Genomic DNA, 18668 nt, shown 5'->3' with positions numbered 1-18668 from the left:
AAATCCTGCTCCTATTTTACCTTTTAGGAACATCAAATCTAGATCATTTCTTTAGTTTTTATTGAGAAGGACATTGCCAATATGTCCATTATGATTCTGGTGTGTTTTCCATTTTTAAAAAGTATTTATTTAACAGCTTTTTACTGAGGCCTGCTATGTGCAAAAAGGTACATTAAACTTTGTATTACTTTAGTATTGTAATAGGTCAGCTTTATTTTTTTTTTTTACAGTTTCAGTGGCTGATTCTTAGAGTTTCATAATTACTTGATTACTTATACCCTATTTCTTATTTGTTTGGAATGTGGGTTTAAGATTTTTTTTAAAACCATATCAGTTGGATTGCATACGTGGAAGAAGATATTAAGAGAAATGTGTCCTAATGTTTGTAATTTACATAATAAATAGAATCTAATCTTTTTTCTGTTTGAACATACTTTGGATGTTAAGAAAGAAAATATTTAGGGTTCAGTGTTAAAATCTTTATCTCATTCTGGAAACCCCAAATGACTCCTAAAATATCTCACCCTACTTCCTGACCTTTAGCCTATTTCTGTACCTGTGTGAAGAAAGCTTTCCCAGAAGAAAAACTCAGTTCAGTTGCTTGTCCTATTTGCTTAAGTAACTACTTCAGGCTCTTAGGGTTTGATGTTTTTGTCCAGTAAGAACTGCTGGCCACCAAGGCGGATGCCAGGAGAAGGATCAGAGGACAAAGCAGATATAGGAGGCAGAGGTCACTGGAGTGCCAAGAAATTAGATACCAAAGTGACTAAAGGGAGATTTTTCCAGATGAAGGGGTGGAAGGGAGAGAGAATGAGGGAGGAGGAGTAAAGAGAGGCAGAGGACAAGGGAGAAGGAGCTTCTTGAGAAGCTTGGCCCCCAGTTTGGTGAAAATCCAATTATTTTGTGAGGCGGTATTAAAGCTATCATTTTGTCCAGGATTTTAGGAAAAGAAATGATGACTGACATGCATAGTCTGAAAATCTGAAAAGTGTTGGGATAATGCAAATATCTCCAAATTAATAATCATACATCATAATCAACATTTAGTAATATAAACCTTTATGGTCACACAAAAATGTAAGAATAATCTATTGGCTGTGCATAGATGGAGGTATTTAAGTCAAATATATCATCTCATTTAATACCTGGTCCTGTTATTTGTAGTACATGATTTTGGGCAGGTTAGTTAATATTTTCTCATCTGTGATGAAAGGATGTTATTACAGATCTCACATACATTCAGAACAATGAAAACAAATCATCTTTGTCTAGTATGTGACACAAATCATGCCATAGAATAGGCATATAAAGCATTAAAAATTTTTTCTGGGTGAAGTTCTCATGGTCACTTGCGATCTCTGGTCAATCAGTTTAATGTGGCACTTGCTTATAGAGTAGATTGCATTTTAACCTTAGAGTGCCGAATGAGCCATTATGGTAGCAAATGTATTACTGTTTTGGCACAGAGTTCAGTGACTACACACTAATATGTCATATATTATCCTGTAATTAACAATGAATGGCAAAACTGTTCGTTTATATGGCCAATTAACTAAATGACTGGTTTCCAGTGATGTACTATATACTGAGCTTAATCAAATAAAGGTTGGATTGATGGTCAACAGCTGTGAAGTTGGCATAATAAAATGCCCTTCTTGAAGAAGCACCTGTTAAAAGGACATAGTGGCATAGTGGTACAATAGTGTAATGCATTTGGGAATTCCAGAATTCTTTCTCAACAAAATAACACATTTTGAGTGATTTCGGTAAACTAATTTCTCAAATCTGCAGTTACTTATTGAAATTCCTTAAAGTTTAAATGTTTTTGTTTTGTTTTGTTTTTTCCGAGTTGGAGTCTTGCTCTGTTGCCCAGGCTGGAGTGCAGTGGTGCGATCTCGGCTCACTGAAACCTCTGTCCCCCTGGTTTAAGCATTTCTCCTGCCTCAGCCTCCAGAGTAGCTGTGATTACAGGCGCCTACCACCATGTCTGGCTAATGTTTTTGCATTTTTAGTAGAGACGGGGTTTCACCATATTGGCCAGGCTGGTCTCGAACTCCTGACCTCATGATCCACCTGCCTTGGCCTCCCAAAGTGCTGGGATTACAGGTGTGAGCCACCACGCCCGGCTAAAGTTTAAATCTTTTAAAAAGTCCTTTCCGCAATGAAAAGGATTAAAGTTTGTCAAAGGGCCTAACATCTAATCTAGAAGACATGTGAAACCAGGATTCTAAAGCATTCTAAGATTCAAATGAGAGCATTCAGTTTGCATTTCTCCTCAGAGACCATGACTACAATATCTGGCTGTTAGATTAGTAAAAGTTCTCAGTTTGTCCAAATAAATGATCCCTCATTTGTCTCGATCATGGTTTCTAAACGTCTCAGTAGCCATTCTGCATGAACGCTTTGTATCAATTCATCCTACAGCCTAATCCTCTACCTAATAATAATAATAATAAAAACTGAGGAAAGCTTTGTTGTTTACTTAGAAGGTAAGAAATCTTTATTGCTTATCTAAATGTTTTCCCCAAGAGGATAATTAGTAAATGTAGGTCTTTCACTGCAGGATAGTATTGGCTTGGCTGAACTACTGCTACATATTCATACTCGTTGCATTTAAAAGTATCCTCTGTGTTTTGAGGCCTCATCAAATTGGATTTCCAGTTCTTTTCTATGTCTTCAGTCTGATAAATGGATTGCTGGCTTGGAGGTCTGAACCCCTGAAGTCTCTGGGCTTCTGTTTCTTTTTTCTCTAATTGTCCTTCTAAACTAATTATCTCTCTGAGTTGTCATACAATATTTTGATGAAAAATACAGATGACTTTCCTAATAAAGTAAGTATAAAGTATTGCAGCATTCTAAAGAAAGTCATCAGTTTGTGCATGAGTAAAGCCAATTCCCTGGCCCAGGGCTGGGGCAAGCACTCTGGTAGATTTGTAAAAAGGTGGCCAGGCTCAGGGCAGCAGTCATTTTCCTCCCCTCCCTTGATTCTGTTCCCTCAGAAAGCCACTCTGCAGGGACCCTGCAAACCTTGGGAAGGGGGACAGGGACAAGATATGCACTTAATAGGCTCAATAGGTCCTGCAGCTGCTGCCACACTCTGTATCTGTGACAGCTAAGCAGCTGCCATAACTGCTTTGGAACCTGAATGAGATAGAAACCGCCAAAGCCTGCTGGCTCCAGTGGAGCTGATTTGTGAGTTTTGCTGTGTGCATACCTTATTTGAGGAGGTAATATTTAAGAGGGGCAGAGGGAGGGATTTTTCTTATTTATAGCTTCAGAAAATGCATTTGGTTTTTCCAAAGGTGGAGATAACTGCACGAATAAAAATGTTAAGGGTAGAACTCCTAAGGGCTGAGGCAAATGAGGTTCCCGAAGTATGAAAAGTAAAGAAGAGGGAATTAAGCTACGGTATCCTTTTGCAATGCATAGTAGGTCCACACACACAGAGGTTCAGGCAGATACTGATAGATACCGATGCTAGCAAAGGAAGTTCACCTGAGTTACAATAATAAATATTTTAGTGCTATTGTTACCCTCTAGTTCGCTCTACATGAACGGAATGTTCTCTTCCATCATGAAACAGATTCGGCTCTGGTCTGATCACAATTTTCCTCATTGTTCGTGCCCCTGTGGAGAGATGCACTTCCAGACGGCCCCTGTTGAGGAGTATTGCATAATAGGCCTGCAACAGCAAGTGGTTATTGAAGATTAAACAGAAGTCTCATTTATGGCTTAGCTTTAGAGATTCCCTGGCAGAACCACAGGTTCGTCTGCTCTGAGATCTTACCTGAGAAATTAAGACTTTATTTTCTCAAACGGTTTTGAAAACAGCTGGAAATATCTTTCTAATCATTTACCATTTTTGCTTGTGAGATGATCTGGAAAGTGGATATATTAATATAGCAGTTCTCTGCAAAGCAGATTTGTGATGCTGAAAGTAACAGCTGTGCTTGCGTTGGTCCTCTAACTTATAAAACCCATCAGGAGACAAAGGGTGTCAACAAAATCCCTCTCCCTTATATTCACAAGTGGACAGCTAGCTTCTGAGAATCAGGCCTGACTCCCAACCTTGTGGCATTCTGAGTATTTAGACTTCAATTTGTTCTCTGAGCTGGTAGAATAGATCGCTATCACAAACATGTAACCTGCCTCCCACATTTAGAAAGAAGGAAGATAATTTTTCATCCACAAGCATGCCTGCTTTCTTCTTGCTACTGTTACTATAGCAACCAGTGTGGTTTTGATATCCCATCATGAACCCCAGGGAGCCTGAATGCAGTCCTTGTCCCTAGAGCTGATGCCACGTGCTCTCCCTTTCTTGTGGAGTATGGGGGCACCTGCCACACAGTGATGGCTCAGTTCTCCATGAGTCATCTATGGTGGTAGAGACAGATTCCATCAAACATCATCATGTTCCAATAATTTACTAAATCATGTATGTAGTTACGTGTCCACCACAGAACATTTTGAGGATCTGGATAAGTGCTCACCATCTGTCAAAGGGAAAACACAAACTACTCAATTAAAAATTCCTTAGCTCATGGATGGTTTGCCATATCAAACCCATTTAGCAGAAAGGAATCACAAATAACTCTATGGGTATCAAAACCGTTAGCTTTGAAATATAAAACTTGTCAATTTAACCAGCACTGAATCTAAATCTAATTATGTCTAACAGACTTATACTATTTAACATTGGTTCCTCCTTCAGATAGCATATACTATGATATTTTATAAAGTAGATATGAGTTATTAAAATGTTAAAACATTAAAATGTCATTTTAACTTACTTTATACTATACTACATAGTGTTTTCTTATTGTAATTGTTTTAATAGGAATCTGTTTTATTTTAAGCACTATCCTGAAAGCTGGTGATTCACATTCATTTCTTTTATCTTGAAGAGGAGAAATTTGGAGCCAGTAGGTAGTGTTTAAATATCTGGCAATGATGAAGGAATCAAGTATCCTTTAGTGGAAATCTATTTCAGAATATTTGATCTGGTATTCTTATTATAACTAGCTTATCATTTGCAATATGAGAAAAAAGTTTATTTTTCAAGATAAACAAAAAAATTGACGAGGGCATTTGTATTTTATATTTATTTAGTGCTTATTATGTGTAGTAAGAAATGAAATAAAATAACACTTTTCTCCCTCTACTCTTCAAAAATATTTTTATTACGACTATTTGATATATTCTTCACAATATGAGTGATATACATGTAAACGATGAAGCTGCGTTAACACTGTATAATAACATGAATACCTGTAAATCTACCACCAAATTTCAGAAACAATACCATTGCATCTCTTATGAGTTTCTTTCTAATACCATCTCCTTGCTTCTCCATCTCAGAGGTAACCACAAATGTGGATTTTATGTTTATCATTACCTTACTTTTAAAAAATATTTTTGAAATTCACATGTGTCTGTAAACAATATGTTGTTTAGTGCTACTTGTATGAGAAATCTACAAAAATGGTACCATATAGCACATTTTTCATTTTTATTTATTTTCTATTTATTATGTTGTTATATTTAGTTATAATTTATTCCTTTTTCTTATTCCTTGATATCCCATTATGCAAAAGTGCCACAGTTTGCCTCTCTGTTCTCCAGCTGATGAACACTTGGGTTGTTTCTAGTTTCTCTGCTATTATAAAGAATACTTCTATAAACATTCTTGTACATGTCTTATTATGCCCATGTGCAAAAATCTGGGTCTGTACCCAGGAGTGGAATTGCTGGCTTGTAGAGAGTATGCACATGTTCAACTTCAGGAGATAGTGCCAAATTGTTTTCCAAAGTGACTTTAGAAATTTACTTTTTCTACCAGCAGTGATCAAGGGCACTCTTTGATTCACATCTTTCCAATACTGTTCTTTCTAATACTATAACAACCAGTATGGTTTCGATATCCCATTATAAACTGCAGTGAGCTTTTCCCCTTTTGGGGACAAGGACTGTATTCCCTGTAGATTATATATACTGTACATTTCCAGACTGAGGCTTGTGTTTTGTGTTGTTTGATGACCAAAGAGTTTAATTTTAATGCAGTTCCACTCATAATCTTGTTTTGTTCAATCAAGTGTTCTTTTCCCGAAGGTCAAAATTTAATCCTGGTATATTTTCTTCTAAGAATTTTAAAGATTTTTGTCCTTCCATATTTAAGACTTTAATTTATTGTGAATTTATTTTTTGGTTTGATATGAAAAAGAAATTTAGTTTCATCTTTTCCATATGAATAACCAATTGCCCTGAAATCATTCACTGAACAGTTCACTGTTGTCTTTTTTAAATGAAATGCAATGCCACTTATTGTCAAATGCTGTTTCCATCTATGCTTGTGTATTTTCAGGGTTCTCAATTCTTTCCTATTTGCACAGTTATACATGAATTAACATGATAGCTCCACAATACAAAACTTTACCTTCTAATGTGCTGATATCTGGTGGAACAGCCCCAACTACGCTATTCTTCTATTCTAGGAATTTCATCTTTGATATAAATTTTAGAATAAGCTGTCATGATTCACAGAAAAATAAGGTGATATTTTTATTATAATTGAATCTACATATCATTTTGGGGAGAAATGACATATTTTTAATATTGAGTCTTTAATATCTTCATTAACATGTTGACTATACCAATTTATTGACTATAATCATTGAGAAATACTTTGGTATCATTCAATGAAATTTTATAATTTTCTCCATATGGGCTTTATGTCTATTTTGTTATAATGATTCTTAAATTATATATTTGTTCTTATTCTTGTTCTTGTGCTATATTTACTTGTTCTTTTCTTACTATGCTAGCTAAGATCAGTGCAGTCAAAATAGTCATCTGTTTCTTGGGCTTGATTTTATAGCAAATGTTTATAATGTCTTTTTTTTAAATCAGGAATACTTGTTATAGTTTTTTTTTTATAGATGGCTAAGGAAGTTCCTTCCTCTTAGTTTACTTAAGTATTTTTTAAAAATCATGAATGACTGTTAAATTTTACCAAATGTTTTTACTATCTATTGACAAGATTATATTATTTTTAGATTTTCTTTTTTTTCTTTTTCTTTTTTTTTTTTTTTCGAGTCGGAGTCTCACATTGTCGCGCAGGCTGGAGTGCAATGGCACAATCTCGGCTCACTGCAACCTCGGCCTCCCAGGTTCAAGCAATTCTCCTGCCTCAGCCTCCCAAGTAACTGGGATTATAGGCACCTGCTACCATGCCTGGCTAATTTTTTGTATTTTTAGTATACAAATTAGACAGGATTTCACTATGTTGGCCAGGCTGGTCTCGAAATCCTGACCTTGTGATCTACCCACCTTGGCCTCCCAAAGTGCTGGGATTACAGGCGTGAGCCACTGTGCCTGGCTGATATTTTGATTTTCTAACATTAAACCACTTCTGCATTCCTGAAATAATCCAAGTTACTCGTGGTTATACATCTTTGGGTTCTCTTTGTGAATATTTTGTGTGGGCTTTGTATTTTTTAGAAAAATAAATAAGATTTGTTACATAATATGATTGATCACTAAATGTTACATACTAAAATTGATTTTTAAAACACGTAATCACAAATAACATGATCTGGTTTACAAGGGTATGTGCATACTTAAGGATATATTTGTAAAGCATTGTGTTCTTTTGGTCATGGCAGACAAAATAATTCCTATGAACCCTTTCATTGAGAAAAACTAGATTAAATGGAAAATTACGTTTTAAAAAATGTGATTGAAGATATTAAAGAATACCAAGGCAATAAGAGGTATGATGCTTAAATCTGGGCAGTTGAGGGATTGCTTTTAACAGAATCAAATGGACAGGGGATATAGATACTAAAGTTTATGTCCTTGCAAAATTGATACTCTTTTTTAAAAAAAGTTTTGAGACAGAGTCTCACTCTGTCATCCAGGCTAGAGTGTGGTGGCGTGAACAGCTGAATAGCAGTCCTGAATAGCTGGAATCACAGTTGTGCACGACCATGCCCATTTAATTTTTAAACATTTTTTGTAGAGAAAGGGTCTTATCATGCTGCCTAGCCTAGTTTCAAACTCCTGGGCTCAAACGATCCTCCTGCTTTGACCTGCCAAAGTGCTGGGATTACAGACATGGGCCACTACACCCGGCTGGTTGACATTCTTTAGGCTTTAACATCCTTGAATGCTATTGGGATAAAATTGTCCCTGTCTGTGTTGGTTGTGTTCTACTTGCTTTCTCCCAGATCCATTTTCTGCCCTTCTTTGTGTCCAGAGAGGATGGGATGAGTCAGGCCCAAAAGACTATTACTTCAGCTTGTGCAACTGGGAAAATGATCTTAGAGGAATTTACATTTAAATTTAAGGGACCGAAGCTGACTGTCTACAGATTTGGTAAGGAGTCGGACTTGGAGACAGTAGAAATTAAGATAATGTGAATATATTTTAAGCTGTCCTCTTTACATATGCATATGTTAAACCCATAGGAAATATAGGTGCAAATATGAGGGTGACTTTGCACCTACAATTGATCAACAGGAACATCCTAGAGAAGACAATTGTCCTGGGGAGATGATGTGAGTGAAATAGGAGGCCAGCATGGAAATATGGAATGTTCAGTCCTTGCTAGCCAAGATGAGAGCAGAAATAAATGATACGAAACTAAAAATACAAAAGTAAGTTAACTGCTTTATATAAGCATTAGGGAAAATGCATTATCAGCTAGGTGTGAGGGTACCTGTCCAGTCTGCCTTCGTTTTCTCCTAGGTGGTGCTGGTGTCCCTCCACTTCCCAAAAGAATGATGCCGGACTCATTCTTGGTGCTGAATGACAGGTTGATTTCTGTTCCTACATCAATTGGCACAGGGGAGAGCTCCACAAAACCAGGCTTAGGAAAGCTAACTGTGTAAACATTCTGTGAGTAAAGGAAAAGAAGAGTAGAAACCATTAGAAATGAAAATTTAAATAAGTTCTCCATCTCACTCACCCTCCTCGATGCAATTAATGTGATTATGAAATACATCATAGGTTTAGAAAGCAGGAAAACATGGAAAGTTTAAGAGCAGTTGAAGAAATATTATTTCTAGTTATATGATAACTTCAAATCTTCTGAGCAGTTTTTGTTAAAATCAGAATTATAGCCTCTACTTTTATTCTAGAGCTTTTGATTTTAAATATAGAAGATTATCACTGTTAGGTACCTTTTTTTGTTGTTGTTGTTTAAACCAAAGATTTAAGTCAAACTGACACACAAGCAGGTACATGTCTAGGGAGATTGTCCCTAAGTTTCCTTTGAAAACACTGTAACGAATATCTCTTGAATAAACTCTATCACTTAATTGTTTATGTTTTACAGATGGGTATGACCATTATCTGTGTCTGCATTTTTCCCCAGTGATAAGACCAAACCTTAAAAATAAATAAAACAAACATCGCATAGTCTAGTTTTTTCTCAATATTAAAGTAATACCATTGTCCTTGCTCAGTATAAAATTAAAACAGTTACATTTCAAGTAGAAATGTAAATAAGGTGCAAAAGGGAGAAAATCAGCTCCCCATCTCAATCTCAAAGCTGTGCAGAAGCATATAGCTTTCTATAATTCATTCATTCATTCATTCATTCACTCTTTCACAACCTTGCCATCTTCCTCTCTCCTCCTCCCTGTATTTAAAATGAATCTTGATAGACATGTTCATTCCTAATGACTTTTTTTTCTTACATATGTGGAAGATATCACTCTCTCAGTAAATGTAGATAGTCACTTTTAATGGCAGGAGGACTTTCTACTTTATGAATTTGCTAGTATTTATTTAAGCAAGCCCATGTAGTTAGGAATTTAAAGTGCTTAAAATATTCATTTTTAAAGTCCTAGATTTTGTAGGAGTAAAAGCAAAGAATCCTTTAATGTAGGCTATTTTCCTCCCACAGTGTTTCAAGACCAGTTAAATGACACAAGAGCTGGTAAAATGTATAATCTGTTTTCTATTCCAATTTTCAAATCATGGAGTTTTAGATAGTTCAGATAAAACTACTGTGCAGACTTTTCAATATTTATCCACATCAAATTTCTGCCTCATATTTTAGTTGCAAAATAATTCCTGGTTACTGCAAAGTGCCTTTAGGGAATCATAATTTCCACGTGCAGAGGCTATTCATTTTCCGGACAGTTTCCATCCTCATGTATATATCTTTTGAATGTGAATGAGAGTTAGGCTTTGAAGATTAAAATTCTCAGTAAAACTTCCTTTAAGAAGCCAGTATGGGTCCTTACAGTTTTAGTTCTTAATGTGTTTTCTCTTTTCTTATTCCCAAACTTCTCAGAGTGGGTGTCTATGGCCAATTCCAAATTGGAGCCTGTAGCTATGAACAATGAAGATCCTGAAAGTTCTGTTCCAGTCTTTAAACCTCATCATTCAAGTGGTGGATTTACTTTTTTCTTTACCCACATTTTCCCTTCATTTCCCTAATTCTATTGGAGTGGTTTAAGATAATTTTGATTAGAAGCAGCAGACAAAATGAATAATTGTATTATGATAGGATAATTAAAAATGTATGAGAATGACATATTTAACGTTTTCATTTTAAAAACAAGCTGATCACTATTGAGTTTCTATAAAATTCTTGCTAATATTTGCTGTTGACTATTGACTCTTGCTTATGGATATTTTAAGAGAGTAGAGCTATGGCCGGGGTCTTTCTCACATATGGGTCAGTGTCAACTGAAGAAACAGTGCAAAATAGTTAAACGAAAATAGGGGAATGCTAGGATGCTTTAGCATCAAAGAAGAGTTACTGAGGATATCAGCTAACAAAGGACTTTGCAGGCATGTCAAACACAAGTCTTTGCAGAGTTGATTGCCACAGGTCCCAGTCTATGTTATTTCAAAGACAAGGGGGCTAGACTTCAAGTTTGTAGACAACAGACTATGCACTAATGGCTACGGTGTAAATTACTACTTGCTACTTGTGTAAACTTCAATGGTTCCAGAAAAAATGTAAGGTTGCTAATAAAGCTATATACAACACATAAAAGTAAAATAAATTTAAAATGGATGACAAAAATAAGGAAAAGGGAAAAGTAGTGTTGGAAAAAAAGAGAAAAACAGAAAAGAGATTAGTATTAATGATATGTGCTATAAAGAGCTATACATTTGGAAAATTGGATCACAATTCTAGGACTTCATAATACCATTTTTTATCATGGTAATTTAGAGAATGCTTTAATCTTGCTTTATCGTTTAAGAGTAGGATCAGTAGAAAAGTAAAATATATTAACAAAAGACTGATCCTTGTAGGAGCAGCCACACTAAGTAAGTGAAATCTGATATAAATGTGTTTAGAGAACTATCAAAAACAGACCAACCTCCAGGGAACATCCTTTGGTAACACCAACATAATCGGGACTACTGAGTATATTGTACGGAGTTCTTGAAATTTCAATATCTTTGAGGCAGCCGGAATATTTCTTCAGATTTACTTCTGGCCTATTGAATAGTCAAATGAAAAGCAAAAGCAATATCATTAGGGTGATGGTAGTGTAGTCTCTGACTATGGGAAGGAAGCCTTGTGGAGCAGACACATGCAGGCACATGTCTATCAAACTGTGCACACGTGTACCCAGCAAACTCTGGTTTCCATTGTCTACTGGTTGGTCTAAATGGATGTTCATGTTATCCTGCAGAAGGAGTCTTTTTGTAGTCCTTCTCCCCTTTAGCAATAATCTCACCCACAGCATTTAAACATGAGGTACAGGAATTAACTGACTTCTTATTGATGCTTTATATGTGTAATGAAATAAGTTTTATTTTTTTCACCAAAGAGAAGATAATTGCATAGGCAGCATAAACAAACTATATACCAAAAAGTTTTTAAAAACCTTGCTCAAAAGTTAGAAAAAAAAATCTGAAAACGTTTATTTATTTTGAAAAAGATTTTTTTTTATTTGAGGCTTTTTCTTGGGAGATAGCTAAAAAATAAGATAATATTACATATCTCTTTAAGGCTTTTAAGTAAAACAAAGTCCAAGAAACATTCTTTTGGATTATATAGTCTAAAAAACAGATGTTTAAAAATTAGGTTTACTGGCCGAGTGTAGTGGCTCATTCCTGTAATCCCTGCATTTTGGGAGGCCGAAGAGGGAGGATCGCTTGAGGCCACGAGTTCAAGACAAGACCAGCCTGAGGCAACAGAGTGAGACCCTGTCTTTGCCCTCCCCTCCAAAAAAAGTAGCTGGGCATGTTGGTGTGTGCCTGGAGTCCCAGTTACTTGGAGATGCTGAGGAGAGAGGATCTTTTGAGCCCAGGAGGCCAAGGCTGCAGTGAATTATGGTTGTGCCACTGCACTCCAGCCTGGGCTACAGAGTGAGATCCCTGTCTCAAAATAAAAAAATGTTTTTTTTTAACAGATTAATTTAGTTTACAGATTGACCCCAAAGTCTGTATTCTACATTAGAACAATAACAAAATAAAGCAACCAAATGCAAAAACCCATACATTTTATTTTTTCAATAAAATTGAAAAATGACTTTTATACTCAAACTACACTTGAATGTTTACTTTTGCATACTACTTCATAAAATGGGGCAAGTGTGCCAGCAGATTAGGAAATGAAGTCCTTGCCCTTGAGTCCAGATGTTGCAAGTGATCTAAGTTCTCCAAGACTCAGTGTTCTTATATGTGAAATGGGCATGATAATAATAATCATAGTACCTACATAATCAAATTGCAAAGGTTTAATAAATTAAGGAATAGCACTGCACACAGTAAGTGCTCAACAAACAAAGGCTATCAGAATGTCAGTGATGATGATACTTCTTTAATTATAACAGTGCTATTCCACAGAACTTCCTGTGATGATGGATATTGTCTGTTTTCTGCACTGTCCAAATCAGTAGTTACTAGCCACATGTGGCTATTAGGACTTGAAATGTAGCTTGTCTCAATGAGAAACTGAATATTTATTGTTATTTAATTTGATTTAATTTACAATTAAATAGCTACTGTGACTTGTGGCTACTATTTTGAATAGTGAAGGTATATAGAAGTGAAAAAGATAATTCTTTATGTGGTGGTAATCAGCATCGGTAAAAACTGTCCAGTCGGCATCAATATATTGTAGTTGATAGGGTGATGATTAATTCTCTCCTCATTGTCCCATGATGCCAAGTTCCTTTTTTTATCTTAATGAAAAACACATGGCATGAGGAAAAACAGGTGGAAAAACAAATTAGACCTTGGCAGTGTATATCAGGTGATTTATTTCATGTCAGGTGTCTGTCTGTTTCCACCCCCGCACTCCTTTCTGGAACTTCTTTATTTTCATTGATAATTTTTCCTTGTTCCCAAGGTTTTCTTTTCGTTCAGTCAGTCAGCTGGTTGTTATAAAGAACATGCCCAACTGTAGGGTGAGAATTCTGCTTATATTTTTCTTGCATAATGCACAGAGAAGGTGAATTTCATTAACAGTGTTCACTTGCTTCCATATTTTCCTTTATGGAAAGACTGACTTATCACCATTTTTTTCAGAGGTCTTGTTACTAAAGTAAATCACTCCTACAAGTTATATAGTTTATTGTTTCATGGAAACACAAAGAACCATTCCAAAATATGATTTAGCAACCTCAATATTAGGACAATTACAGGGGATAAATAGTCACATAAGGTGACTGGACTCAATGGTAACCACGGGTCCCTGTTTCTTGAGGGTCACCACTCAAAGGCAAAATTACAAACCTACACAGTGCCATCCCAGAATTTTATTAACATATATTTCCATGAAAGCCAGCCTTCGCTTTTTAGCCATCTCAGCAAATGTAGCACAACTAGTGGTCTTACAACTGTATCATGATAAAACGCATGGTTTATTTTTCCCTACTTTCATTTCTGTATATTCTATTTCTCTTATTAAAAATCTAGCCTCGGTTTTAAAAATTTCTTGGATCAGTTCGGCTTTATTATCTTCTTTCCAGAAATCTGGCACAGCTGGGCTCTGAAATGCCAAAACACCAGGCTTTTAGCTCTAGCCAGAGGATACCAGCCCTGCACATCTCTGAGGTTTGTTCAGCCATTTATGGAGGCCCATTGCTCACAGCTTTTATGCTAATGCTAGTAAGAATTAAAATGCTCCTGAGAAGCTAGGAGAACTATCTCACACTTCTTTACTATTAACGCAAATACTTATTTTAAATATAGTATTTCCAGAGATTCCTTCATCTGGCACCATAGCTAGTTTTAAATAAACATGTCAATAGATAAACAGCTTTGACAAGAGGTGCAAAGGCTGTGTAAATGTTTGCATATCTGCAGGCCTGCAAAAAGCAAGAAGGCAGTGGTAAGCATGTGAGAGCACAGTTTGATTCTTCAGCAGACAGCATGGCACTAGGGAGGCCAGGGCCCGGGGTTCAACTCAAGAGACCACTTTACCGTGTTTCCCAGAACTAGACTGTGTACCAGAAATTGACCAGCTGCCTTTTGAGTGTGTGCTGCTGGTCACCAGGGGCACTGTGTGCAGATGGTTGAACAAGTGAGCAGAGCAAATCTCATCACTGCTGGTGAGACAACTCAAATTGCAGCCCAACTGATGGTGGGTAAGCAGCAGAATGTCGGCCAGCAAGGGGCAGCAGGAGAACTCTCACAGAATGCACGGCTTGCTCGTGAAACATACTATGAACAAAGCTGTACTGGTGTTGCTCTGCTTCTGCACGGCTGCTTTATCTAAGAAGCCACATTTACCCAACCCATGCACTCGAAGAAGGCATGCATAAATTTAAATTTTACCTTGCTTTCATACTAGATAACGGGAAAGAGGAAAAAAAAAACAAAAATAAAAACAATTTACTTATAATTACATTTTCATTTAGTAAAACAATAAACTTTAATCATAAATCTTTAAAAAATCATTTCACAGGGATCTACAAAGGAAAGAAATGCAAAAGCCCCAATAGAACTAAAAATAGACTTATACCCTTGACGGCAGTGAAATTAGAATCAAAATATGACCGTAGCTCACAATATCAGCTTGGAAAATTTTTACTTTGAAATATGAATTTAAAGTACTTGTTCTTATCAATCTAATAAATGGGAAAATGTACAATGTCACTATTCTGTAGTGTTCATGAATGGCTTATAAATATTGCCTCTCAAACAGCTTGAGCTTAACAATGCATGTAAAAATAATTTATGTTTACCACATCTTTTGCACTTTGTCATACTGAGAACCTGTCTGCAGGCAAAATAACAGGTAACTATGAATGTTTGGTTCCTTTATCAATCACAAATATACCTCTAATGGCTGTTTTGAAATAATGTGCCACACCATGGAAATAGTATACTGTAATTATGCAATGCTGTATCATGAAAGTAAAAACATTTTAGTGATAAAGATTCATTTAACAGATTCAGATTTTAACAGATTTTATAGAATTTAACAGGCACACCTTTATAGATAATTCCTAAAAATTATTTTATGATAATTAAAATCATCACTAGAATAAATGAAGCTAGATTTGAATAACCTTAGGTTTGGCTGTATTTAATTCACTCAATAATATATGGTTAATGATCTTGTAAAGCAAATCTTAGATTTGAACAACCACTGGATTCCTAGTATTTGGTATGGAGCCTGTCACATAGTAGATACTCAACAAACTTTTGGTGAATGACTGGCAAATGAATTTCTAGGTAATAACTGTGGTACTATTTAAATTTGATTTGTAATGTTTTTCTGACTTGACACTTTAAATTTATTTTTCTAACACAAATACATTACAATGAATGCAGAGCCAATTTATTTGCACCATGAAGCTCATCAGATAATTAGACAGTTGCTTCATCTATGAGTTTAGATTTGGGGAGAAGAAATTTCAGCCTGCACACTAGCTGTCATAGAATGAGACTGAACTTTCACTGCTCGTTTAGAAATGTGAAAATAACTGACCATCACACTTTTCAGCTATTCTGGGATTTTTCCAAACATAATCTGTCTTTTTGGAGTAGAAACACCTGGACAGAACTTTTATACCCTTTAAAAAATACCAAACTAATTAAACAAAACAAAAAATTAAAAACATGGTAGTCTGTAATAAACTCTTACGGTTTAACCAAATCAATTAATCCCATTCTAATTAGAGTGTAATTAACATTTATTGAGCACCAAGTACCATCCTTATAGACTATGTTATGTTTTATAATGAGCAGTAAATTAACTACACAGCACGTGAGTATTTTCTGACATTTTTTAGTTACTTTATTTTTTGAACTAACTAAATTAGGAAGCAAATGTGTCTCCCCATACTGCTAGCTAAAAAGCATATGTGAAATTAAAAAAAAATGTTGGCATGGGCATGAGAACAACTAATATAGTTCTTGTATTAGGCATATGGGAAAGCTCCAACACGCCATTATGATGCTAATGCTTAGCAATAAAATAGGTTATACTCATAGCATCCTGGAACACTGACTAATTTTCGGAACACTAAGCAATGTCAGAGTGCCATTATCTCCAGTGAATGTAGAAGGAGAACAGCAATTACAAGATCCACATTCAACTCTGGCTTCTACCTTTAATTACTTTCATAATTCTTTTCAGCAGGTGCATATAAAGGAAACAGCGACTCCAATCCATCTCTTCAACAAAGATGTCAAATTAGTCCTTTGGTTTCTAAATCCTGGTGTTGTTCTAACATGCAACATGATGTTTTTGATTAGGCCTTTCTGCAACCAAGGGTTATATGACATTCTTATTGTAATTAAACTTCAGAACTCTAGTGAGCATAGTGGTCATTTAATTAAAACTTAATCCTTAGCTTTACATATAAACTAAATTACCTCAAGTTTCTCAGCGTTGGCAGGCCACCAAAATATATTTTGTCATCTGCTTTCAAGTCAAGACCAAAGTTGTTTCCAGAAGACGAAGTTGCTATATTCTCCTCCTGATTAGTATCTATATCTACAATTGATATATTGGCTGTAAAGGAGAAAGAAAGTTTAACATTTTATTTGAGCAATATCAACCACATCTATATCATCATTAATACTTCAAGACAAATTTGGTTTAATTCGAGAATTAACATTGACTTTCTCAAGCACTTGCACTATATTTAGCAATTTAATAATTACAGAAATAACATCAATAAAATACATTATTAAACTATCCCCCAAAGAGCATGAAAATAATAGCTTGAACACCAGTGAAGGCAAACCAATGAAGATAAAAGAGATAACTATAACTGAACATCAAAGATCCATTTGATGTAGTTTTCTATAATCTAGATAAGTAGTTAGAAAATAAAGCAAGGTTAAAAATGCTAAATAACAAAGATATCTAATTAGGAATCAGATAATTAATTAGAAATATGCCTAATCTATGGCTCTTTCTGTAAGTTTTACTATCCACAGGAACTACTGGGATTTAGACTCATCTGCAAAGTGTCACTGTTGTAAAATATGATTGTACATGGAAGTGGAAGGGGATGTTGTACAAGGAAGTGGTGAGATCCAGGTACACTGTAAATTACATTTTAGACCAGGATGCTAAGTGTTGTGACAGAGGTACAGTCCTCATGCCTTCTTGCTTTTCTTTTGGGTCTCTCAAGGTATTTTTAATGTGATGAAGATAAGAATTCAGAAATAGATGGAAAAAAGGAAAGATGAGGCACTTCTCTGTTCAAACTGCATTGTTTAGAAAGCAGACAGGAACTCCTTATCTCATTGATCCCTCTCACTACCGCCCCCTTCTTAGGGGTCAAGCTAGGCTTTTTCTGAATTACATGCTTTTCTACCACATGTCCTTAGATCTAGCCTTTAACTACTTCATATGCATCCTTGATGCGTATTGACATCAGTCCCGTAAGATGATAGATTTGGCCTCTAAACCTTTGTCTGATGTAGGATCTGAATAAGCAAGGGTTTGAAAATGGGCATTTGAACCAGTGGGTTATAAGGGAATTTCTAAATGTTTATTCTTTAGGATGCTAGTTTCTTGGATGTTCCTGGCTCAAATAAATATGACAAATACTGGGTTATACAAAGTTAAACATGTATCTTCTTAATTTTATAGCTGCCCAGATCTTTCAGCATGCTAATATGCAATGCAATGTTCCTAGAGAAGGACATAGAGCAAAAAGTATTTCCCAAATTTATTTGACCACGAAATACTATTATTTTCACTCAACTCATCATCTTTCAGAATCAGTGTTCTTTGGAAAACAGAGAGAAACATCAAATTCCAAAATTCCCTTGAAGTTTATAGCCCTATCATTTCAAAAAGATGTGTCTTCAATAAAATCAAACACAATTGCCTTATTAAAAAAGGACTAAAATACACATACCAATGGACACCTCAAACCAGACTTTTGTAAAAACAAACAAGAAAAATACCTAAAAGAATAATTGTCCTATTAAATATAGCTAGCAAGTTAAGATTTTAAAATTGAATTACTTTCACACACCTATTTTATTATTTTTATATACATAATTAGTTTCATACACATATATCTCCTTGACTGGACTGGGGGCTAAAAGAAAATAGATTTATAAAACTGTTTTCAAGACTTTTTCATATACATTCCTTTTTATCTAGATCGGCAAAGGTATTTTCATATGGGGCTGTTGACTGGAAGATGAAAATAGTCTCTTTCTACAGACTTGGTGGGTATTTTAATGGTGTCTGAAAATGAGATTCTGCCTCTCTA

General features: G+C 35.4%; 1 protein-coding gene and 1 long non-coding RNA gene across 3 annotated transcripts in view; one reads left to right on the top strand and one right to left on the bottom strand.

Annotated features, from left to right (window-relative positions):
• The window catches only part of LAMA2 (laminin subunit alpha 2), a 633429-nt gene that overhangs the window by 26411 nt on the left and 588350 nt on the right, over positions 1 to 18668 (bottom strand). Inside the window, exons 52-56 of one of the 2 annotated variants that reach the window (NM_000426.4) lie at positions 16804 to 16942; positions 14755 to 14766; positions 11343 to 11463; positions 8717 to 8893; positions 3534 to 3682 (exon numbers count right to left, since the gene is read on the bottom strand). In NM_000426.4, coding sequence (NP_000417.3) covers positions 3534 to 3682; positions 8717 to 8893; positions 11343 to 11463; positions 14755 to 14766; positions 16804 to 16942 — 598 coding nt within the window. The remainder of the gene's footprint in view (positions 1 to 3533; positions 3683 to 8716; positions 8894 to 11342; positions 11464 to 14754; positions 14767 to 16803; positions 16943 to 18668) is intronic. The other variant, NM_001079823.2, reaches the window with a different exon arrangement.
• LOC124901401 (uncharacterized) lies at positions 3682 to 10543 on the top strand. The gene is made up of 2 exons (XR_007059767.1): positions 3682 to 8373; positions 8466 to 10543. It is a non-coding gene; the product is annotated as an uncharacterized LOC124901401 (long non-coding RNA).

This window comes from Homo sapiens, chromosome 6, assembly GCF_000001405.40.
Source record: "Homo sapiens chromosome 6, GRCh38.p14 Primary Assembly".
NCBI classification, from domain to species: domain Eukaryota; kingdom Metazoa; phylum Chordata; class Mammalia; order Primates; family Hominidae; genus Homo; species Homo sapiens.
The sequence above is the reverse complement of the archived record's forward strand: the minus strand, read 5'-3'. Positions and strand labels throughout refer to the sequence as shown.